The sequence below is a fragment of the Homo sapiens genome, chromosome 16, assembly GCF_000001405.40.
Source record: "Homo sapiens chromosome 16, GRCh38.p14 Primary Assembly".
NCBI lineage: Eukaryota > Metazoa > Chordata > Mammalia > Primates > Hominidae > Homo > Homo sapiens.
The window spans coordinates 4178829-4202685 of NC_000016.10; the positions used below are offsets into that span (position 1 = coordinate 4178829).

At 49.4% G+C, this 23857-nt stretch overlaps 1 protein-coding gene and 1 long non-coding RNA gene across 9 annotated transcripts in view, besides 4 other annotated features; both read right to left on the reverse strand.

Moving 5' to 3' along the window:
- Positions 331-533: a silencer, noted in NCBI's record as "fragment chr16:4229160-4229362 (GRCh37/hg19 assembly coordinates)". NCBI's record gives its function as "represses an EF-1alpha promoter that drives an FKBP-Casp9 reporter gene in an ReSE screen in HepG2 liver carcinoma cells {active_cell/tissue: HepG2}" and the evidence as "EXISTENCE:reporter gene assay evidence [ECO:0000049][PMID:32094911]".
- On the reverse strand, positions 1289-5130 carry LOC105371062 (uncharacterized). The gene is made up of 2 exons (NR_188654.1): positions 4565-5130; positions 1289-1483 (listed from the first exon to the last, which is right to left on the reverse strand). It is a non-coding gene; the product is annotated as an uncharacterized LOC105371062 (long non-coding RNA).
- Positions 4698-5347: a silencer, noted in NCBI's record as "silent region_7146". NCBI's record gives its function as "represses an Ori minimal core promoter by ATAC-STARR-seq in GM12878 lymphoblastoid cells {active_cell/tissue: GM12878}" and the evidence as "EXISTENCE:reporter gene assay evidence [ECO:0000049][PMID:35858748]".
- Positions 5000-5294: an enhancer, noted in NCBI's record as "tiled region #7928; HepG2 Activating DNase unmatched - State 1:Tss, and K562 Activating DNase unmatched - State 1:Tss". NCBI's record gives its function as "activates a minimal TATA promoter and a strong SV40 promoter by Sharpr-MPRA in HepG2 and K562 cells {active_cell/tissue: HepG2 | K562}" and the evidence as "EXISTENCE:reporter gene assay evidence [ECO:0000049][PMID:27701403]".
- Positions 5358-5427: a silencer, noted in NCBI's record as "silent region_7147". NCBI's record gives its function as "represses an Ori minimal core promoter by ATAC-STARR-seq in GM12878 lymphoblastoid cells {active_cell/tissue: GM12878}" and the evidence as "EXISTENCE:reporter gene assay evidence [ECO:0000049][PMID:35858748]".
- Positions 10546-23857, reverse strand: part of SRL (sarcalumenin) — a 52707-nt gene continuing 39395 nt past the window's right edge. For all 8 annotated transcript variants that reach the window (NM_001098814.2, NM_001435440.1, NM_001323668.1 and 5 more), the window contains 3 exons: positions 18971-19087; positions 16725-16958; positions 10546-14136 (listed from right to left, as the gene is read on the reverse strand). In NM_001098814.2, the coding sequence (NP_001092284.1) occupies positions 13325-14136; positions 16725-16958; positions 18971-19087 (1163 nt within the window). In that variant the 3' untranslated portion in view covers positions 10546-13324. The remainder of the gene's footprint in view (positions 14137-16724; positions 16959-18970; positions 19088-23857) is intronic.

A 23857-nucleotide genomic window follows, 5' to 3' on the forward strand; every position in this document is an offset into this window, starting at 1 on the left:
GTAATATTCCACATGTTCCCTAACCAGCCTTAGTTTTCTCAGCTGTGAGCTCTCTGACTTTTTTACCTAATAAATTGCTATGAAATTAAATGAAATCTAGATATGAAGCATCTGGCACAGCATGTCAGGCACATAGCATGTGATCAATACATATCAGGTTCCTTTTCCATGCTTGAGGGGCTTAGATTATGAACAACAACTGAAAGACTTCATGGGACCCTCCAGGAAAGAAGAGGCCAGTAAAAAGGGGACACGGCAGTAAAGCAAGAGGAAGGCATGGAAGAAATGGCTCGGCGCTTTCCAGCAGAGGTTTCTGCTCCACAGCAGGCCACTTGCAGGGTGCTGGTGAAACTCACCCACCAAACTGGTTGTTGGCTCATCCCTGAATGCTGTGTTCCAACAGCAGCACCAGTGATGCAATCAGCAGAACTGAGCTCGTGGGTGGAGCCGTGGGGAGGAGTTGAGCAGGGAGAGAGGTAGCACCCTGGGCCCCTGCCCAGACTGTGGGGTATTAGGAATAAAGGTGTGGGTAAAGAGGGCTTCAGAGAGACTTTTGTTTGTTTGTTTGTTTGTTTGTTTTGAGACAGAGTCTCACTCTGTTGTCCAGGCAGGAGTGCAGTGGCACAATCTTGGCACACTGCAACCTGTGCCTCCCGGGCTCAAGCAATTCTCCTGCCTCAGCCTCCCAAGTAGCTGGGATTACAGGCGCCCGCTACCATGCCCTAATTTTTGTATTTTTAGTAGAGACGGGGTTTTGCCATGTTGGCCAGGCTGGTCTCAAACTCCCGACCTTAAGTGATCCGCCCACCTCGGGATTACAGGTGTGAGCCACTGTGCCCAGCCCATACTCTTTTTTAAATTCCAAAAGCTAACCTCCACTAGGAAAGCCAAGCACAAGTCCAAGGCTTTTTTCAGACTTTCATGCCTGCCCTTTTCACCTGAAGAAGCTGGCCTATTACAGGCCAACAGGAGACACAGCAAAAGGCACAGGGCTCATCTCTGCAGAGACCCTCCGAGTCCCAAGGAGAAGAGGCCCCGCTAAGGCTCCTCAGGGAGGTTTACTATCTAACCCTATTTATGTCTGCTCCTCATTCATTCATTCATTCCACAAACATTCACAGGGGAACTACTATACACCAGATAAGACTCTGGACGGGAAAATGACAGCTTAGCTGTTCATACCTCCGTCCCTCAAGCTGTTTCACTAGTCAGTTTCTTTATCTGTCCAATGGAGGAAACCGGGTTTATGGGAAGATGCAATGAGATAATGGACATGCCTGACACAGACTAAGTGTCTAAGAAACGTAAACTATTTTTATGGTAGTAGAAGCAAGATTGCCTGTGACGCTGTATATCTTTCATTTGCCTCTTCAGGTACATTTCTCCTTTTCCATGCTGCACTGCACCCTGGAATTGGCCTGTATGCGCTGCATCGAGATGCTCTTGCCCTCTGACTGCCAGCTGGGTTTGGTCCATGTGGAGCCTGGAATCAAAACCAGAGGGAGAAGGTGGGGACAGGGTTTATGGTTTTTATTCCTCCAAGTCCCTTTTTGAGCTCCTTGACTTAAAGTCCCAGCTCTAGTGAGATCGCCCTCCACACAACCTGCCTCCAGGTGCAGAGGTGGTAAGATCCCACTGTCACCAGCCCCAGAATATTCCACATTCCATAGCAGTTTCCCTATATCCTGCCTCAAAGCCCCCACTTTAAATGTCCCCAATTTAATCTGTTTTCTGCTGGATCCTGACTAATACAAAGAGTGTAGAGAACAAGGGCAGGCCTGGGAATCGGGAGACCTGAATTTAAGTCTCATCTTTGCCACCAGCTCCCTCCGTGACCCTGGGCCACATTTTTCCATTTCCAGGCCTCAAACTTCCTCAATTTTAAAATGAGTGGGTTGGGTCCGGACACAGGGCCTCATGCTTGTAATCCCAGCCCTTTGGGAGGCGGAGACAGGGGTATTGCTTGAGGCCAGGAGTTTAAGTCTGGACAACATCGTGAGACCCTGTCTCTAAAAAAAAATATATATATCTATATATATAGATATATAATAGACATATATAGTATCTATATAGATATATAGACACATATATAGTGTATATAAAGATATATAGACATATATAGATATATATAGACATATATAGACATATATATAGACCTATATAGACTATATATAGACATATATATAGACCTATATATATAGACTATATATATAGACATATATATAGGCCTATACATAGACTATATATATAGACCTATACATATAGACACAGACTATATATATAGACCTATATATAGACATACAGACTATATATAGACATATATAAGACCTATATATAGACATATATAAGACCTATATATAGACATATATAAGACCTATATATATAGACATATATAGACCTATATATATAGACATATATATAGACCTATATGCATATAGACATATATATACCTATATATAGACCAATATAGACCTATATATATAGACCAATATAGACCTATATATATATAGACCTATATATATAGACCTATATATATATAGACATATATATAGACACACATACACACACACAAATGAGTAGGCTGGACTATATGGCTCTTTCATGATCCAATTCCCTGCCACTTCTAGGTGTTAAGTTACAGGAGGAGGACACAGATGAGAATAAAAGCTCCCTAGTGAATACGGCAATGATGGCCAGGTTGGCCACTAAGCAGCTCTCCCCACTCTCCACCATTGTATCAGCTCATTCTTACCCAGAAGTCACCTAACTCCTTTCCAAGGACTTTCCTTCTCTTCTCAGGCCATCAGGGTACCAGATGTCTAAATGATCTCCACTCCAAAGCAACAGCCAAGAAAACCCAGGAAATTAAAAATAAATTCCTTTTTCCTTTCAGTAACTCCCTGCCCAGCCCTGGGTTAGCTGGAGAGGTCCCTTCCCAGGTTCCAGTATACCCAGGGGGCCAAACAGGGAAGCCGTTCCACACTGACACCAAAACACTCTCACAGGGAGTGATCTATCTCTGCCCTGGGAAATGCTGGGGACACAGCTGGCTTGCAGGGCAGAGGGAGTGACCTAAACCAGCATCCTGTCAGAAGACATGCAATGCCCTGCATTGAGATCCCTGTCACTGGGCAGGTTTCAAAGAGAGGCCAGGCAGGGTGCGGTTGCTCCTACCTGTAATCCCAGCACAGAGGCTGCAGCGGGAGAATCGCTTGAGATAAGACGTTTGAGACCAGCCTGGCGACAGAGCGAGAAGCCCAATTTATTTTATTTTATTTTTGAGACGGAGTTTCACTCTTGTTGCCCAAGCTGGAGTGTAGTAGCACGATCTGGGCTCACTGCAACCTCCACCTCCTGGGTTCAAGCGATCCTCCTGCCTCAGCCTCCTGAGTAGCTGGAATCACAGGCCTGTGCCTCCACACCCGGCTAATTTTGTATTTTTAGTAGACGGGTTTTACCATGTTGGTCAGACTGGTCTCGAACTCCCAATCTCAAGTGATCCACCTGCCTTCGCCTCCCTAAGTACTGGGATTACAGGCGTAAGCCACAGCGCCCGGTAAACTTTTTTTTGTTCGTTTTTGTGTTTAAGACAGAGTCTGGCCTTGTCAGGCAGGCTGGAGTGCAGTGGCTTGATCTCGGCTCACTGCAACCTCTGCCTCCCAGCTTCAAGCAATCCTCCTGCCTCAGCCTCCCGAGTAGCTGGGACTACAGGCGCCCGCCACCACGCCGGCTAATTTTTGTATTTTTAGTAGAGGGTTTCACCATATTGCCCAGGCTGGTCTGGAACTCCTGACTTTGTGATCCGCCCGCCTCAGCGTCTCAAAGCGCTGAGATTACAGGCTTGAGCCACCGCGCACGGCGTTAGCAAAAATTCTTTCAAATAAAAAATTAGCCAGGTGTAATGATGCACACCTGTAGTCCCAGCTACTGGGAAGGCTGCGGCAGGAGGATCGCTCGAGCCTGGGAGTTTTGAGATTGCAGTGAGCTGAGATCAGGCTACTGCACTCCAGCCCGGGCGACAGAGCGAGGCTCCGTCTCAAAAAAGATAAAAAAGTAAAAACCTAAATTAGCCGGGCATGGTGGCGCGCGCCTGTAATTCCAAGTACTCGGGAGGCTGAGGCGGGAGGATCACCCAAGCCCAGGGAGTTCGAGGTTGCAGTCTCAAAAAGAAAAAAGAGTAGAAAAGAGAGGAAGAAGGTAGGAAGGAAGGAAGGAAGGAAGGAAGGAAGGAAGGAAGGAAGGAGGAAGGAAGGGAGGGAGGGAGGGAGGGAAGAAAGAGAAGCTAATGACCACTTGATCCTCGTAAGGCCTTTTCAGTTCCTAAAATGACTGATTCAGGAAACCCCAAGAGCCACAAGAGTCATTCTATTCAGATGATGACCCTCCCTGACCCTCCTGGTTTCTGGAGTTTTCATTCGCTAAGGGCTGCCCTTCGGTTTTCAATTACTGGCGGAGAGGGCGGTTCGTTTCTGGCGGGGAAGGGAGGTGACATTCCGGTAGGAGAATCTCCTAAAACTCGCATTTCCTGTTTGCCCTGGGCGCCGGCCTCAGGTGGAAACCTCACCCCGATAACTGAGGGCAGCAGTCGGCCTTGGGCGTTCTTCCGTCACCCAGGTCTCCAGAACCTCCCGGACTCAATGGCAAGTCACTGCACAAGTTCAGGGCCTTTTCGGTCCCGATCGAGGATCTGGAGATCTCGGGGCTTCCCGGTCGTCTGCCCCACAGCCCACGAGGCGGACCGACCTGCGGGGTGAGGCACCGGGAGCGCATGGCAGCCCCGGCCTCGGCCTCCTGGCGCCCTCCCAGCCACGCGGTGAATGCCTGAGAGGACAGAGGTTCGCGGCCCTCCCCATCCCACCGGCAGCGACCGCAAAGCCCGGGAGCTGAGTCCGCGGCGTGAAGCGGCGGAGGTCAGCAGCGAGGGGGCAGGGCCGGCGCTGGCGGCCACGGAGCTTGCGCGTCGCTGGGCTCGGAACCCAGGGACGCGAGCCAGCGCTGGGAGCTGGCGGAGAGACGGCTCTGCCATCCGGCTCAGGCAGTGGGCGCCCGCCCCGCCCCCAGCGCCCACGCGACTCCGGCCCCGAGGCTCTCCCGAGCGCAGCGTTCTGGAAGCGCCGCCGCTAAGCGTCTGCGTCTGCGCCTGCGCTGACCCCAGTCCCGGACTCGGTCCGAGGCGCGCAGCCCGGAGGGGGCGGGGCCGAGCCCGAAGGGAAGGCAGTGCGCATGCGCGGGGCGAGCCGGCCGGCACTGTCACAGCTGAGCGGCCGCGAGATCGGTCCCTGTCCGCAGGGTCGGGTAGTGGCCCCCTCGGGGACAGCGTGTGAGGATTCGGGCGCGAAGGACGGGGTCAGATTCAGCCAGGTGCCCACTTTCCCCACGGTCACGACCCTGGTCCAGAACTGCCCTGCCCCGGGCCTCAGTTTCCCCACTAAGGAGAGGAGGCGTGCCGGGGAAATCTGAGGCCCTCCCCAGCCGCGACCTTTTCCCTCAGACGAAGGAAGAGTGGTCGTACCCGGCCGCGATCACCGAAGCCTCCAGCCCTGTCCCCGCACGGATGCTGGAAGCCCGTCCACGCCGCGCGGGGAGTGGTGGCCCGGGTGCTCCTACGACCTGGGGGCCCTGTCACCGCGATCTTAATTGATTCCCAAAGGATCCAGAAAAGGGACACATTGGCGCCCGCCCAGGGCGGGCGGGGTCCCCCGGGCGGCCAGGCCGATGGGGTGGATGGGCTTCTGCTCGCGGCCGCCTTGTGGGGCGCTGGCATCGGATTGGAGTGGGGCAGCATCGGGGGAGGACAGAGACCCCACGCTCCCCCCAACGCAGCAGACCCAGGGGCAGGCCCTTGGCTCCTGCATGCCACGCTCCGGCCTCCCCATATCGCCCTAGCACCGCTGCCCGCTGGTCTTCCCTTCTCAGAAACCTGCAGTGGCCTCAGGCCTAGACTCCCTGGGCTTCCCCTGAAGGCCCAGTATTCCCTAATTCACCTCCTCTCACCTTGGCTGCTCTTCCATTCCCTTATCCCCGCCACACACAGCGGTCTTCCCTTGTCTGCGTCTGGGCGCCCTCGATCTTCCCGTGCTCCACCCCCCTAATCTGTGACCCACCAAACCTGCCCATCCCTCAAAGTGTAGCTAAAACTCCACTCCTTCCCCAACCAAACTCCATAGCCCCACAGTGTGTCTCAGTATTCTCTGAAGAGCCCTGAGGTTGTGTCAATTGATTCTTCTCAACAGAAGTAATCCATTACATAATTTATCAACTTATATGCATTGATCAGGCTTTGCAAATAATTACATTTGCAAATGAGAAAGACAGTCCTTTGCCAGACCCCTGTATCCTGATTTGCAATTGTGCGCTGTATCCCTTACTAGATGGCTACATCCCCCAGGGGAGAGACTATGCCTTAATATGCAGAATATCTAAATTTTTTTGGAATCGTGGTGGGAAAAAATTAAGAAGTTTGGAAAAAATGGAAATATAACATCTTTTTGCACTCTTCACAATACAAAATCTCATCTTTTAGTGGGTCTGAAAAATATACAGTGCACAATATGCTGTCAGCTCTAGATTACCGCAAATCAATGTGATGGAATAGAGTAGAAAGGATATTGGGATGGGTACGAAATTGGCCTTTTGGTGTGGTTTGTCTTGCATTAGCAGAGTGAACTCAGGCCGAACTCAGGCAAAACTGCACCTCTGTAGATGCAGTTTCCCCACATTAGATTTGGATTTAGGAATAAGAAATATCCCTGCCCCCATCTACTTTACAAGATCATGGTAAAGATCAAATATGAAATGGAGATGGAGTTAAGATTTTTTTAAAGTATTTTTTTGTTCAGGAAATAATCCTCAGTAAATTTTCTAATGAAAATTACTTTATATATATATATATGTGTGTGTGTATATATATGTATATATATAATTTTTTTTTTTTTTGAGACGGAGTCTCACTCTGTCACCCAGGCTGGAGTGCAGTGGCGCCATCTCGGCTCACTGCAAGCTCCGCCTCCCAGGTTCACGCCATTCTCCTGCCTCAGCCTCCCAAGCAGCTGGGACTACAGGCACCCGCCACCACACCCGGCTAATTTTTTTTTTTATATATATTTAGTAGAGACGGGGTTTCACCGTGTTAGCCAGGGTGGTCTCAATCTCCTGACCTCATGATCCACCCGCCTCGGCCTCCCAAAGTGCTGGGATTACAGGCGTGAGCCACTGCGCCCAGCAAATTTTTTATATATTTTATATATAAAAAATATAAAATATATATAGATATATATAGAGATATATAATATATATATATTTTTTTTTGAGACAGAGTTTCGCTCTGTCGCCCAGGCTGTAATGCAGTGGCGCGATCTCAGCTCACTGCAATCTCCACCTCCCAGGCTTAAGCGATTCTCATGCTTCAGCCTACAAGTAGCTGGGACCACCGGCATGCACCACCACGCCCAGCTAATTTTTGTATTTTTGGTAGAGACGGGGTTTCGTCATGTTGGCCAGGCTGGTCAGCATTCTACAGACAACCTCATGTCACATCACACTACTCTCAGTTTCTATTTGTTTTGTTTTTTAACGGAGACAGGTTCTTGCTCTGTTTCCCAGGCTGGAGTGCAGTGGTGGGATCATGGCTCACTGCAGCCTCTACCTCCTGGGCTCAAGCGATCCTCCAACCTCAGCCACCTGAGTAGCTGGGACTACAGGCACATGCCACCACACCCAGCTAATTTTGTTGTTGTTGTTGTAGAGAGGAGGTCTCACTATGTTTCCCAGGCCAGTCTTGAACTCCTGTCCTCAAATGACCTTCCCACCTTGGCTTCCTAAAGTGTTAGGATTACAGGTGTGAGCCACCTAGCCCAGCCAGTTTGTTTTTCTAATGCTTTTTTATTGCCTTTACTTTCTTCTAAAGAAAAATGATCTGAGGTGAGAGGATCACTTGAGCCCAGGGGTTTGAGACTAGCCGGGGCAAGATGACAAGATCCCATCTCTCTAAAAAAAAAAACACTCAGCCTGGAGTGTAGTGGTGCCATCTCAGCTCACTGCAACCTCTGCCTCCTGGGTTCAAGCAATTCTCCTACCTCGGCCTCCCAAGTAGCTGGGATGACAGGCACCCTCCGCAATGCCTGGCTAATTTCTGTATTTTTAGTAGAGACTGGGTTTCACCATGTTGACCAGGCTGGTCTTGAACTCATGATCTCAAGTGATCTGCCCACCTCGGCCTCCCAAAGTGCTAGGATTGCAGGCATGAGCCACCGCACCCAGCCAAAAAAAAAACCTTTTTTAATTAGCTGGGTGTGGTGATGTGCACCTATAGTTCCAGCTACTTGGGAAGCTGAGCTGAGGAAGGAGGATCGTTAGAGGCCAGTAATTCAAGGCTGCAGTGAGCTGTGGTTGCATCACGTCACCCAGCCTGGGTGCAGCCTGGGTGACAGAGTGAGACCCTGTCTCAAAAAACCGCACAGACACCTTCTTTACTCCCCCAAACCCACTTATTCACTCTGATGGCACACGGGTGATGAGCTCCTGTGTGTCAGGCACTGTGCTAAGTACCTGGCCACCTGTTTCCCCACACTCATGGACTTTACATATGTATTTGCACACACCTTTTGCATATAACCATGTGTAACCCCCATGGATTCAGATGATACATCCACTTACCCTTAAAAATACTCCATTCATGCCCCTCACTTTATCTATGTTTATCCTGGTCCCGGATTGTGCTTTCTCCGTTTTCTGTTTCTGTTTCTCTATCATCTTAATGGCAGACAATGTGAAGATGGTGAGGCTTGTGAAACAGTACAATTTTGAGGCAGATTCTGGCATATTACTTAACATTTATCTTTAAAACAGTCCTCCTTCTTCCAGGCAAGAGCTCTGGATTTCTCCCGGGAAAGGGTGGAAGAGGGACGCAGGGTTGGGTGGGTGAACAGGAGTGGCCTTAGTTGGGTCATGTTGCTCAGTTGCTCAAAGACCAAGGACTGCAGACTCTCCCTTTCTCCCCAGGGCCCAGTTTTTTCCCTTTCAAAACCCGCTGTCTACCTGCAAGATGGCTCACATCTCTAATCCCAACACTTTGGGAGGCTGAGGCAGGAGGATGGAATAAGGCCAGGAGTTTGAGACCAGCCTGGGCAACATAATGAAACCTCATCCCTACAAAAAAAAAAAAATGTTTTTTTCAATTAGTCAGACATGGTGGCATGTGCTTGTAGTCCCAGCTACTCAGAAGGCTGAAGCAGGAGGATTGCTTGAGCCCAGGAGGTTAAGGCTGCAATGAACTATGATCGCGCTACTACACTCCAGCCTGGGTGCCAGAGCGAGACTCCGTCTCAAAAAAAAAAAATGGGTAGATGTGGTGGCTCAAGCCTGTAATCCCAGCACTTTGGGAGGCCGAGGCAGGCGGATCACTTGAGGTGAGGAGTACAAGATCAGCCTGGCCAACATGGTGAAACCCTATCTCTACCAAAAATACAAAAATGAGCCAAGCATGGTGTTATGTGCCTGTAGTCCCAGCTACTCAGGAGGCTGAGGCAGGAGAATCGCTTGAACCCGGGAGGCGGAGGTTGCAGTGAGCTGAGATGGCGCCACTGCACTCTAGCCTGGGCAACAATGCGAGACTCCATCTCAGAAAAAAAAAAAAAAAAAAATCGAAAACAACAGAAAACCAGCCGGGTGCAGTGACTCATGCCTGTAATCCCAGCACTTTGGGAGGCCAAGATGGGCAGATCACGAGGTCAGGAGATCGAGACCATCCTGGCTAACGCAGTGAAACCCCGTCTCTACTAAAAATACAAAAAATTAGCCGGGCGTGGTGGCGGGCGCCTGTAGTCCCAGCTACTCGAAAGGCTAAGGCAGGAGAGTGGCGTGAACCTAGGGGGCGGAGCTTGTAGTGAGCCGAGATTGCGCCACTGCACTCCAGCCTGGGCGACAGAGCGAGACTCCGTCTCAAAAAAAAAAAAAAAGAAAAAGAAAAGAAAACAACAAAAAACCTGTTCTCAAGCAAGATGTGAAACTCCTTCGAAGACCCCAGAAGTAAAACATAAAAATTAAACGACCTCTGCTCTGAAGAGGATACTAGAAACAGGAAAATGTGATAGAAAGGGCTCAGGGAGTCAAGGACGCGTTCAGGTTTCTCTAAAGACAGGTCCAAGCGGGAGGCTCACGTCCACACTTCGTGGAGGAGGAGAACACTTTCTGGTGAAGCCAAGGGGAGGTGGCAGCCTTACCATTCAGGAAACCTTTGTGCCCTCCTCCACTGGAGCCCTCAGTTATCTAAGGCAGCTGCGTGGATGCCCAGGGGAATGAGGCATTGAGGTGCTGAGGAGAGAGCAGTTCTTTAAGTTTCAGAGGACACCACGCCTTCCTGGGCGGCTGAGAGAGCAACTCAGCCTCAGTCCCAAAAAAGGTCCTGGGGCATCCAGCTAACACAAGGGTGGGCAATTTCTTAATTTCCAGTCTCTCCCCAAGGAACTTACACATGAGTTAACTCTACCAGATAAAAGGAGGATGAAGAGAGTAACCTAGCTGGAGACCATGAGAAAGCACGCGGTGTTAAAGAGAGATCGGAACTTTATTGAGACTGATGAAATCAGAACCAAAAGAACACTGGAAAGGTTCTGCCACTGTCCAGGCACAGATCCTTCCAGACACTCCTCTTGGGGGAATCTCTGGATCATTAAGTTTCCCCCAGTTCCTAATCCCCCACCCCAAAGAGTCAGAATTCTGCTTAAAGCCCCCTCCACGGAGCTGGCCAGAAACCAGACACTGAGTATCTGTACTGACTGATGGGCAGGCCTGTGAGCAGCAGAGACAAGAGAAATCAGAGAAGGAACACGAAAAGGAAAACATGACGGAAAGAAAAGCCCAAGGCAGGGAGAGCATGCTGATAACGCAGCCCCCTGAAAATATAAATATTGCATGAATGTATTAGCCTCATCCCAGCCATTTCCCCCAAAGCAGTGGTGACACCAACAGCTATGACAATGCCCACACAGTTGTGCATCTTTTTTTGTTTTTCCCCTGACTACACAGAAAAACAGATCTGCCAAAGCAGCTCACAGCATGGAGGAGCAGGCAGGGGAAAGTGGGAGGGCCCATCCCCCAAGAGGGCAGACAGTACAGAGATGAGGCGAGGGGTTCTGGGGTTTGCGGAGGGTGGTTAATGAGAAGAAAAGTCCAGGACAGATTCCATCTCATCAGCCCCTATCACAGGCTCCGTGGATGCCCCTTGCAGAACTCACTGTTCTTTCCTGGTCGACTCGTTCCTTGGAAACATTGTCCTGAGTGCCCTGGAACCTCGGGTGTTCTTGTGGAAGGGTCCAGGCCCTCCACAAAGCCAAACGCAACGGCCCCTGTGACAGCATGCACCAGAGTGATAACAATTCTGAGAACCGGGAATTCCTAACTCGAGGTTCTCCTCATAGACCTAACCTGACTGCCAACTGGCTTACCCTGCCTGACCTCAGAGTGCCTCTCCCTCTGCCTGCCTTTCCACTGTCCTGGGTCCAGGATGACTTCCTGGTGCTGAGCTGGTGCATCCTGACTCCTGCCTCGTGGGTAAGGCCCCCAGGACAGCTTGTTCCCAAGAGAAGCGGCTGGCTGTGTACAAAGGAGCCCCTCGAGGCAGCCCGGGCTGGGTCTCCTGGGCATGCACAGACTGTGCACCATGCACATTTCACCATCCAAAGGCTGCTTCTTCCCTGCAGGTCCTGCCCCTCTGCTCCCCACCACCTGCTGTGGAGCCGTGCATGCTAGCCTTGCAAGACTGTTACAAGTTCTCTACTCCCTAGAGTCTATGTGATCTCCCTAATCTCTCTTGGACAACATACACACATATTCACACTTATTGGTATTGAAGGCCCTGGCTTTCCTGCGGTGTGTTCAGTGGACATCTGCATCAAGGTCAGGCGGGAAGGTCAATGTTAAGCCTTGGTGGCCACCGACACCGAGTGGCTGGTGCTGGTTCTGACTCCTAGGAAATTGCTCCAAGTAAGTGTTGATGCATCAGGGAATGGAGAAGAAAGGAAAGGAAAAGCCATGGTGTGGAAACTGCAAAGGAGCAACTCCGCTGCCAAGTGTTTCCACAGGGGAGTTGTGGAAACAGCCTCCTCTGAAATTTGAGAGACTGGCGGCCTAAGGAAAAGGAGCAAGGTCTCCACTGTCCTCTCTGAAACCCAGCGCCTTTGGGATCTGAGTTTTCCAAGACATGCAATAGACAAAGACGCACTGCAAACCAATTAACCCTCTGAGCCCTTCCACGACCTTCACTACAGTCACTTCCAAGAGTAAATTACCTGGATACACCAACCAGTCCCCTCCTGGGTCCGATGAAGGGATCGAGCCCTCGAGCCAGCTTTGAGGAACACATCAGAGAAGTGGCAGTGGGGGAGGCAGATCCTTGTCCTTCCTGGGAACTCCTGTTCTTAGTTGTCGAGTGTCCTAAACCACTGCCCCACCCCTTGAGGAAACCAGGAGCAAGTCCGGGGGATTGGCTCAAAACCCAGGTGGAGGCCGGGTGCGGCAGCTCATGCCTGTAATCCCAGCACTTTGGGAGGCCGAGGCGGGTGGATCACTTGAGGTCAGGAGTTCGAGGCCAGCCTGGGCAACATGGTGAAGTCCCGTTTCTACTAAAAATACAAAAATTGGCTGGGCATGGTGGTAGGCCTATAATCTCAGCTACTCAGGAGGCTGAGGCAGGAGAATCGCTTGAACCCAGGAGGGGGAGGTTGCAGTGAGCTGAGATTGCACCACTGCACTCCAACCTGGCCGACAGAGCGAGACTCCGTCTCAAAAACACAAAAACAAACCCAGGTATATTCAGACCCAAGAGACTATTCACTGTTGAAAGTCAACCCAAAGTTAAGAGGCAGCCGAGGGCTGGGGAACAAACGCGAGACTGTGGGTGTGGAAAGAAGCCAAAATGGACCTGACAATCTCTACGACTCAGGCCTTCGCTGTTTTCCCAGCTCACAGGGAACAAAGGAATTTCAGCTGCTTTTAGCTTATTTGACCCTCACTGATTTAAGATACACTAGAATTTAGCTGCTCTCTGTCCTTCCAAGACAGGACCCAGGAAAAGCAGGTGGAGGCTGACTTGCCTCAATCAGGCCTCCTCATTGAAGCAACAAGACAAGCACACAGGAATTCACAGTTTCCACTCTCCTCCCTAGACCCACACACCTGCCCCGACCCCTGGCCTCAATGAACTCCCAACTCTCCACTGTGTAATAATTCCTGCCAGTGTGGCTCAAAGGGTTAATAAACCAGGACCTCTCAGACAGTTAGGACACAAGCTGATTCACCAACAGGAACCCAAGGACCGCTCCACCACCTAGTGCTTCCTGTAGCGATTTTTTGGTGTTTCGCTACACCCTGTTTTGTCACAGTTGAGAGCACCTGGATTCTTCCCGAGCCCGAGGCTACCCAGGAGGCCCGGAAGCTCCTGAGTGATGGCCCGCTCAATCTTCTCCAGAAAGCAACCTCCCATGTAGGAGCACTGCTGGGAGAGCAGTTTGAAACTGGAAATGGGATTGATGCCGAAGAAGTCCTTATAGGCCTCGCGGTTGGGAAGGTCAAATTTGCTGACATTGGTCTTTGCCAGGATGGTCTTGAAGATGTAGAATTTATCGGGATCTTCCACAATGTCCTTAAAGACCAGTTCTCCATCACTGAAGAAGGTCATTTTGTCCTTGTAAGTCTGCAGGTAGCGGTCAACCAGGAGGGCGTGGATGCGGACCCGGATGGCGTGCTGGCGGATGAAGGCAATCTTGTTCTCCAGTCTGTTCTCGATCACCTGATTCAGGTCTTCTAGGAGGGAGATCTCTTCTTGGAGGAACAGTTCCTGATGGGTGTCCGGCTTATACTCTTGTGGCCAGAAGGAGCTGACGTAAACCCTTGGGGGCTCTGTGACATTGATGAGAGGGGCCAAGCTCCAGAAGAGGGCCCCGTAAACCCGCATGAGCATTTGGGTGGCCAGATTGTCAGCCTTGTTCAGGATGATCCTTATCTGGGATTCACGCCCCTTCAACTGGCGGAAGAGCATCTCCAGCTCTAGACCCACATCCAGCTTTGTTGGGTCAAAGACGACAAAGATGAGGTCAGCTCTGTCGATGAACCACTGGCACACGTCGTTGAAGGGGTAGCCTTTGGGAGACAGAAGTGAGAAGTCAAACTGAGTAGGCCTCCCTCAAAGCCCGCGCACCTCCTTTCAGAACTAAACCATTCTGGGGGTTGAAAGAAGGAACAGCGCTACGGATTTTCTGGGTTTCTACAGACTATTAAAAAATCAATTGCATATCTCCTGTCCCTTGCCAATCTTCAACCAAGAACAGCCTGATCCTTGTTTTTCTTGTTGGTTTGTTTTTTGAGACAGGGTCTCACTCTGTCACCCAGGCTGGAGTGCAGTGGCATGATTATAGCTCACTGCAGCCTCAACCTCCCGGGTTTAAGAATCCTCCCACCTCAGCCTCCCAAAGTGCTGGGGTAATAGGCGTGAGCCACCATGCCCCACCTGATCATTGTTTTAATCTACTGTGAAATCCAAGTTTCCAAGAAAGCTAAATACCTGTTCAAAATGGAGATTGTCCTATTGTCTAAAAGGATCTGGGGCAATGGCAAAGATGCTGAGGGAGAGAAATGAGGAATTAGAAGAACATGAAAGAATGAATGCATTATTTACGGGGAAGGAATGTGGGCTTAGCATTGAGACCTGGACTAGAATTTGAGCTTTGCCCCTGGCGAGCTGTATATTAAATGCCTCTAAGCTCTACCTTTTTAGCTCCAAAATGACAAGAAGAACAATATCAACATCTGAACTGATATAAAGATTACCATGTTGCTGTAAATATAGGACAGCACCTAAAATTCCAGTCATACAGCTGGTGCAGAATACATTTTAATTCCATTAGCTTCTTATTTCCTAGTTTTCTTTGCAAATAAGAAAACTGAGGAGATGAGGACTACCTGTCTTAAAAACATTGAAATCTTTTTTTTTTTACAATAATGTATAAAATTATCCAACGTGTAGTAGGGGTACAATTTACTATTATAATTATTAACATTATTAACATTACTAATAATACTACTAATGTCATTATACCATAATAATATAATTAAATATACTATAATATTATTACTAATATTACTACTAATATTATTAATTGCTTCTAATATTACTGCTAATATCATTACTACAAGATCTATTTATAACCACAATTGGAGTTGTAACCATAAACTGAGATCCACCGTCTGCTCACACATTCCTGCACTGCCCTGTTCAGGACTCACTGCAGACAGCCTTGCCTCATGGCAGGACTCAGTGGCCTACTCCATAGCCACATGCCTGGTGGATCTGGCTTCTAGTCTTGTGGCCTGGTTGTCAGCCTTGTTCATTAAATACATTCACACTGTTGCACAACCATCATGGCCATCCCTCTCTGGAACTTATTCATCTTCCCAAATTGAAAATTCTGTACCCATTAACAGTAACTGCCCATCTCCCCTTCCCCCCAGCCCCTGGTTAAAACCACTCTGGTTTCTGTCTTTCTCATTTTGCCTACTCTCATGTAAGTGAAGTCAGACATTAGCATTCCCCTGCTACCTGAGGGCAAGTAGGGCTTTGAAGAAGCCTGCTAAAGGCTTATGGGGAAGCAACCCTGGAAAAGCAGAAACCGGGAATAGGAGGAGTTGAAGGTCAGGTTCAACCTACAGCAGGCCCAGGAGCACCAAACCCAATTTAGCCAGAAGTCAAACATACTGGTACTGGGATCCAATTAGTCCAGGCCCTTGGCTACACAGGACACACAGGGCCTCCCAAAGACAACTGAGCCCCAGCTTGAACCTCTCAGAGCTGCTTGCAGAGAGGACTAGGCCCCCACTTTGGAAAATATTGCCGTCTCCAAACCAAATCAGTCCTTGGGGAGGTAGGAGCACCAGGCACTCCAAAACCCAGATGGCATCGCAGTAACGACAAGAAGGGTGGAAGTTAAGAATGCCTCTCCTGGTCTTAGGCAACACTGGGCACACTTCCTCTCCCTGCCTGCCTACCACCCACTGTCAAAAGTAGTTTTCTTTTCTTCCTTTTTTTTTTTCTGAGACAGAGTCTTGCTGTGTCACTAAGGCTGGAGTGCAGTAGCATGACCACAGCTCACTGCAGCCTTGACCTCCTGGGCTCAAGCAATCCTCCCAACTCAGCCTCCCGAGTAGCTGGGACTACAGTCATGTGCCACCATGCCAACCTAATTTTTATATTTTTTGTAGAGGCGGGGTTTTGCCATGTTGTCCAAGCTGGTCTAGAACACCTGGGCTTAAGTGATCCACCTGCCTTGGCCTCCCAGAGTGCTGGGATTACAGGTGTGAGCCACTGTGCCCAGCCTTATTTATTCATTTATTTATATAAGTTAGGGTCTCACTCTTGCCCAGGCTGGAGTAGAGTGGCACGATTACGGCTCATTGCAGCCTCAACTTCCTCAGCTCAAGCAATCTTCCCACCTCAGCCTCCTGGGTAGCTAGGACCATAGGCACATGCGAACATGCCTGGCTATTGTTTAAATTTTTTTGTAGAGATGAGGTTTCACTATGTTGCTCAGGCTGGTCTTGAACCTCCGGCCTCAAGGGATCCTCCTGTCTTGGTCTCCCAAAGAGTTGGGATCACAGGCATGAGCCATCATGCCTGGCCAAAAATAATTTTTTGAAACAGAGCTTACACTGTTCAGAAATGAGGGCTAAATTACCTCTTTCTTGCTGCTTGCGGTTCTCGATGATGCCTGGTGTATCCACAAAAGTGACCCTCTCCAGAAGTTTGTGGGGAACCTCAATGCCAATCAGCTTCTCTAGGAAATTCTGGCCAAACTTCTCAAGGGGTGAGAAGGAACGGGCGCTGTCAGCAGCCATGACGATGCCCTCGATGGTTTTCAGCTTAGGCCCATGCATGAGGACCGTGAACTCAGAGGTGGTGGGTTCAGCGCCTGGGCACACGGGGTGAGAGGTGAAGGAATACATGATCTCTGTGAAACAGATCTACTGAGAAGCATGTGTATATGCCTGGTGTCACAGGGAGACTTTTGCAACAGAATTGGATATGTTTGCCAAGCTATTGGGGCTTTCTTTTAATTGTGGTAAAACATACATAACATAAAATTTACCTTTTTTTTCTTTTTGAGATGGAGTCTTGCTCTGTCACCCAGGCTGGAAAGCAGTGGTGCAATCTCAGCTCACTGCAGCCTCCATCTCCCAGGTTCAAGCGATTCTCCCACCTCAGCCTCCCGAGTAGCTGAGATTACAGGCACTCGCCACCATGCCTGGCTAATTTTTGTATTTTTAGTAGAGACAGAGTTTCACCGTGTTGGCCAGGCTGGTCTCGAACTTCTGACCTTAATGATCTGCCCACCTTGGCCTCCCGAAGTGCTGGGATTACAGGTGTGGGCCATTGCTCCTGGCCTAAATTTACCATTTTAATCATTTTAAAGCATGCAGTTCAGTGGCATTAAGCACATTCACCCTGTTGTGCAACCATCGCCACCATCCAGGTCCAGAATGTTTTTATCTTCCCAACTGAAAACTCTGTATCCATTAAACAGTCATTCCCCATTTCCTCTTCCCCCAGTCCCTGGTTACAAGCACTCTGGCGTCTCTCTCTCTGATTTTGCCTTCTTTTTTTTTTTTTTTTTTTTTCCTTTTTGGAGCAGAGTCTCACTCTATCGCCCAGGCTGGAGTGCAGTGGCATGATCTCAGCTCACTGCAACCTCCGCCCCCGGGTTCAAGCGATTCTCCTGCCTCAGCCTCCCAAGTAGCTGGGATTACAGGTGCCCAGCACCATGCCCAGCTAATTTTTGTATTTTTAGTAGAGACAAGGTTTCACCATCTTGGCCAGGCTGGTCTTGAAGTCCTGACCTTGTGATCAACCCACCTCGGCCTCCCAAAGTGCTGGGATTACAGGCGTGAGCCACCGCGCCCAGCCGCCTACTGTCATATAAGTGAAATCAGACAGTATTTGTCCTCTTGTGTCTGTCTTCTTTCTTTTAGCATAATGTCTTCATGGTTCATCCATGTAGCAGATATCAGAATTTCATTCCTTTTTAAGGCTGAATAATAATTTATGTATGAACAGACCACATTTTCTTGATCCTTTCATCCATTGATGAACATTTGACTGGTTTCCATGTTTTGGCTATTGTGAATAATGCTGCTATGGACATTGGTGCAGATGTCTTTTTTTGTTTTCTGTTTTTTCCAAATTTTCTTTTTTTTTTTTTTTTTTTTTTTTGTGAGACAGAGTCTCACTCTGTCGCCCAGGCTGGAGTGCAGTGGCGCGATTTTGGCTCACTGCAACCTCTGCCTCCTGGGTTCAAGCAATTCCGCTGCCTCAGCCTCCCAAGTAGCTGGGACTACAGGCACCCGCCATCACACCCAGCTAATTTTTTGTATTTTTAGTAGAGACGGGGTTTCACCATGTTGGCCAGGCTGGTCTCGAACTCCTGACCTCAGGTCATCCTCCTGCCTCAGCCTCCCAAAGTGCTGGGATTACAGGCATAAAGCCACCATGCACAGCCTTTTTCAAATTTTGTATTTTAACACGTGCATGTGGCATAACTTTTCTTTCCTTTTTTTTTTTTTTTTTTGAGACGGAGTCTCGCTCTGTCACCCAGGCTGGAGTGCAGTGGCACAATCTCAGCTCACTACAATCTCTGCCTTCTAGGTTCAAGCAATTCTCATGTCTCAAGTTCCTGAGTAGCTGGGATTACAGGAACGTGTCACCATGCTTAGCTAATTTTTGTATTTTTTTTTTAGTAGAGATGGGTTTTTGCCATGTTGGCCAGGCTGGTCTCAAACTGACGGCCTCAAGTGATCCACTGCCTTGGCCTCCCAATGTGCTGGGATTACAGGCATGAGTCATAATGTCCGGCCAGTGATTTAAATTTTCATGGTGCTTTTACATACAACATTCAAATCCCAACAATCACACAAGAATATTGATTACCTGTATAGAGCTGATAGCGAGTATTTTCCAGCCCAAGGAGGTAGTTTATCATGGTAGATTTACCAACACTCCACGGTCCCAGGAACAGTACCATGGGCTTGGAGGTAATCTCTCCATCTGTGGGCAACAGGAAGTAGAAATGGAATAAAACTAACAAAAGTTCACACAAGGGGTATGGCACCGTACTCCAAAGCATCTCACCGTCCATCCAACTGAGTTGTGGAATTCTCCATGAATCAGACGTGTGTAGCCCCCAGTGGCGCTTCTCTTGCTACGTAAGTGTGATCACCCAGTAAAAAGACACAGAAGTCACTTTTGGGCCTTGCCCAGATCCTTGGCACGTCTGCCCCCACCACAAGAAGGATCTCAGTGAATTCAACAAACCCTGACTCCGAACTCACTCTGGGTGAGGTCTCCTGGTTAAATCTGGAGGAGAAAAGCCCATAGAGAAAGGAGGACGGAGCTTCCACATGGAGAGAATCTGGGTTGAGAATGGAGGATGGATGTGGAGCAGCTTGTATAATCTTGGGTGGTCTGGACTCAGACCCTTCCTGTCTCCAGCCTCTGCAGCTCTCCTCTCCTCCAGCCTGGGGCTCCCCAAATTCCCAATACAGCCTAATCCTGGACTCTGAGGCCAGTGTCTCTCTCTCTCTTTCTGCCCTCTTTTGTTTAGAATCAGGGTCTCCGTTGCCCAGGCTGAAATGCAGTGGTGCAATTGTGCCCCACTACAATTACTGGGCTCAAGCAATCCTCCCACTTCAGCCTCCCAAGTAGTAGCTAGGACTACAGGCATGCACCACTATGCCCAGCAAATTTAAAAATTTTTTTTTGTAGAGATGGGGTCTTGCAACGTTGCTCAGGCTGGTCTCAAACTTCTGGGCTCAAGCAATCTTCTCACTTGGCTCCCCAAAATGCTGGGATTACAGCTATGAACCATTGCACTTACCCTCTTCTAGGGCCACTCTCAAACACTAGCCTCTAAAGTCCATGACAAATTTGCCAGTGCCCAAAACCAAACAATGAACTGGCAATTCTTGGGTCCTGCATCCAATGTCCTTCCGAAGGCCATGTTGGGGAGATGACCCTGCAAGGGCCACTCCAGGTGGGTCCCTAAGAGGAAAAATAGAATGCTCTCGTGCTTTCAAATCCAGTGGACAGGGAGGGAAGGGGAGAGGCTTTCAACGTGGGGTGTGGTCAGTCTTATTGCAGATTTTCAGGCCTCAGCTCTTCCAGCTCTTCTCTGGACTACAGCACAGAGGGCCAGTCCTGCATAACTCAGCACTGAAGTTCTCCAGACTCGTCTCCCTGAGGCCAGCAGGCCACCCTAAAAACACTAGGCACTCCCCTTTTGTTTCATTTATTTATCATGATTTTAATTTATTTAATTTCTTGGTTCAAAGATCAGGAATATAAAAAGGTAAACAGTGAAAAGTCTCCCATCTCCATCCCAGTCTGCCTCAGCCCTGACACCCCCTGGAATAGGTAACCACTGCTGACTTCTTACATGTTATTTTAGACATTTTAATGCATATATAAGCAATATTTGTAGCTAACATATTCCCCATCTTTTTTTTTTTTTTTTTTTTTTTTTGAGACAGTGTCTCACTCTGTCGCCCAAACCACAGTGCAGTGGTGTGATCATAGCTCATATAGCCTCAACCTCCCAGGCTCAAGCGATCCTCCCACCTCAGCCTCCTGAGTAGCTGAGACCACAGGCATGTACCACCAAGCCCAGCTCATTTTTGTATTTAGAGTAGAGATGGGGTCTTGCCATGTTGCCTAGGCTGGTCTCCAACTCCTGGGCTCAAGAGATCCACCCACCTTGGCCTCCCAAAGTGCTTCTATTGCAGGCATGAGCCCGGCACCCAGCCCCTCCCCATCTTCTTTTCTTTTCCTTTTTTTTTTTTTTTTTTTTTGAGACAGAGTCTTGCTCTGTTCCCCAGGCTAGAGTGCAGTGGCACAATCTCAGCTCACTGCAGCCTCTGCCTCCTGGGTTCAAGCCATTCTCCTGCCTCAGCCTCCCAAGCAGCTGGGACTACAGGTGCGTGCCACCACGCCTGGCTAATTTTTGTATTTTTAGTAGAGATGGGGTTTTACCATGTTGCCCAGGCTGGTCTCGAACTCTTGACCTCAAGTGATCCACCTGCCTCGGCTTCCCAAAGTGCTGGGATTACAGGCGTGAGCCCCCACACCCGGCCCCATCTTTTTACAGAGAGCGTTGCCATATGCTTCCTCTTCTGTATCTTGCCTTCGGATGCTCTGGTCTTCCTTCTCCGAGGCTAAAGCTCAGTCCTAACCAGGTGGTGTCTTATACATGGCAGGCACATGTACGTTGCCTGAAAGCAACACCATGGCCCTGCCCCATCCCTCCCTGTCTGTGAATACACAGGAGACACTCACATCTCTGTGGAAGTCAAGCCCTGGCTGGGGGCCAGGAAGGGATAAGGAGGCTGAGAGGGTGGCAGGAATCCCCAGTTACAGCCACAGAGATGTCACAGTATCTTAACACCGGCCCAGGCGACACCAAGGAGAGCCCTAGATGTTCCGGTTCTCCGAGACAAACCACAAACAGGGCCCTTTCCTGGTGCTGTGGTTTCGGCTCCTCACAGCAGGGGGCACCGCTGGCCTATACAGGAGGTGGGAGGTGAGCCTGGGAGAGGTTACAAGGAAGCTGGCCAGAGACTAGGAGTTAAGAACCAAGCCCAAAAGGTGAGTGCAGGGGCAAGGAAGCGGGACCTCCCTGCAGAGCGCCATGCCCTGGGGACTCTGGAGCTCCTGGCCCTGCTGCTGTACACACAAGTTTCCTAGGAGGGCCAAGACTCCGGGTCTTAGGGCCAAGAGAGAAAGAAAAACCCTTCGGGAGGCTCTGCAAGCTCATACCAATAGCTGTGCATCCACTACAAAGGGGGGCGATAATTGGCTGCTAGGCTACAAAAAATAGTACAGGTAGCTGTGGAACAGGGTATTCCCTGCTTCCAGCTGTGTGATCCTGGGTAACCCAGCACGTCTCTGGGCCTCAGGCTCCCCTCTGTAGAGCAGGAAGAATACAAACCCTATTACACCCTGGCCACTTACAGCCATCCAGAGCATCAAATGAGATCATATAGAAACAGCCCAATTAACACAGGGAAAGATTTCTAATCTCATTCAAAAAACAATAAGATACCACTGCTAAATTTTTTAAAGATGAGTAACATTTTTAAATTGCATTGCTGTTGGGAAACAAGGACTCTCATCTACTGTTATTGTGAGTACAAATTGGTATCATGGGAGACAATATGGCAACAACTAGCAAAATGTTTAATTCCAGGGTTCCAATTTTTTTTTTTTTTTGAGACAGGGTCTCACTCTGTCGCCCAGGCTGGAGTGCAGTGGTGCAATCTCAGTTTACTGCAATCTCTGCCTCCCAGGCTCAAATGATCCTCCTGCCTCAGCCTCCCGAGTAGCTGGGACCACAGGCGCATGCCACCATGTCCAGCTATTTTTTTCTTTTTTTGAGATGGAGTCTCACTCTGTCACCCAGGCTGGAGTGCAGTGGCACAATCTCGGCTCACTGCAACCTCTGCCTCCCCAGTTCAAGTGATTCTCGTACCTCAGCTTCCCCAGTAGCTGGGATTATAGGCACCCACCACCACACCCAGCCAATTTTTGGATTTTTAGTAGAGGCAGGGTTCTGCCATGTTGGCCAGGCTGGTCTCAAACTCCTGGCCTCAAGGGATCTGCTCGCCTCAGCCTCCCAAACTGCTGGGACTATAGGTGTGAGCCACTGTGCCCGGCCATCGGATTGTTTTTAAAAGTGCTATGAGCCATCACGCTGGGCCCAATTTTTGTGTGTGTGTTTTGTTTGTTTGTTTGTTTGTTTGTTTGTTTGTTTTGAGATGGAGTCTTGCTCTGTTACCCAGGCTGGAGTGCAGTGGCACAATCTCAGCTCACTGCAACCTCTGCCTCCCGGGTTCAAGCAATTCTGTTGCCTCACCCTCCTGAGTAGCTAGGATTACAGCCGCCAGCCACTAGGCAGGGCTAATTTTTGTATTTTTAATAGAAACGGGGTTTCACCATGTTGGCTGGGCTGGTCTCGAACTCCTGACCTCATGATCTGCCCGCCTTGGCCTCCTAAAGTGCTGGTATTACAGGTGTGAGCCACCACGCCCGCCCCTAATTTTTGTATTTTTTGTAGAGATGGGGTCTGACTATGTTTCCCAGGCTGGTCTCAAACTCCTGGGCTCAAGCCATCCTCCCACCTCTGCCTCCCAAAGTACTGAGATTACAGGCGTGAGCCACCAGGAGGGTGCTGGTTTTCCAGAGCATGGCGTGGTCACGCAGGGGAGGAGCACACAGCTGTCAGAGGGAAGGAGGGAGGTTTCCACACACACAGCTCACCTAACAGGATCCCATGTTTGTAAAAACAAAAAACAACATCCATCTATGTGCTCACACATGAAGAGGAAATGCTTGGAAGGCTTCACTATAACGATGTGTTTCTCTGGGAGTCGAATTAAAGAAGTTGGAGGTCGGCTGGGAGCGGTGGCTCACGCTTGTAATCCCAGCACTTTGGGAGGCCGAAGCGGGCAGATCACGAGGTCCGCAGACAGAGACCATCCTGGCTAACATGGTGAAACCCCATCTCTACTAAAAATACAAAAAATTGGCCAGGCGTGGTGGCAGGTGCCTGTAGTCCCAGCTATTCGGGAGGCTGAGGCAGAAGAATGGCGTGAACCTGGGAGGCAGAGCTTGCAGTGAGCCGAGATTGCGCCACTGCACTCCAGTATGAGTGACAGAGCGAGACTCCATCTCAAAAAAAAAAAAGCTGGAGGTCAAGAATATAATTTTTATTTTTCAACGTATACCATTCTGCACTATTTGAATTTTTGCAACAAGTGTGTCTTA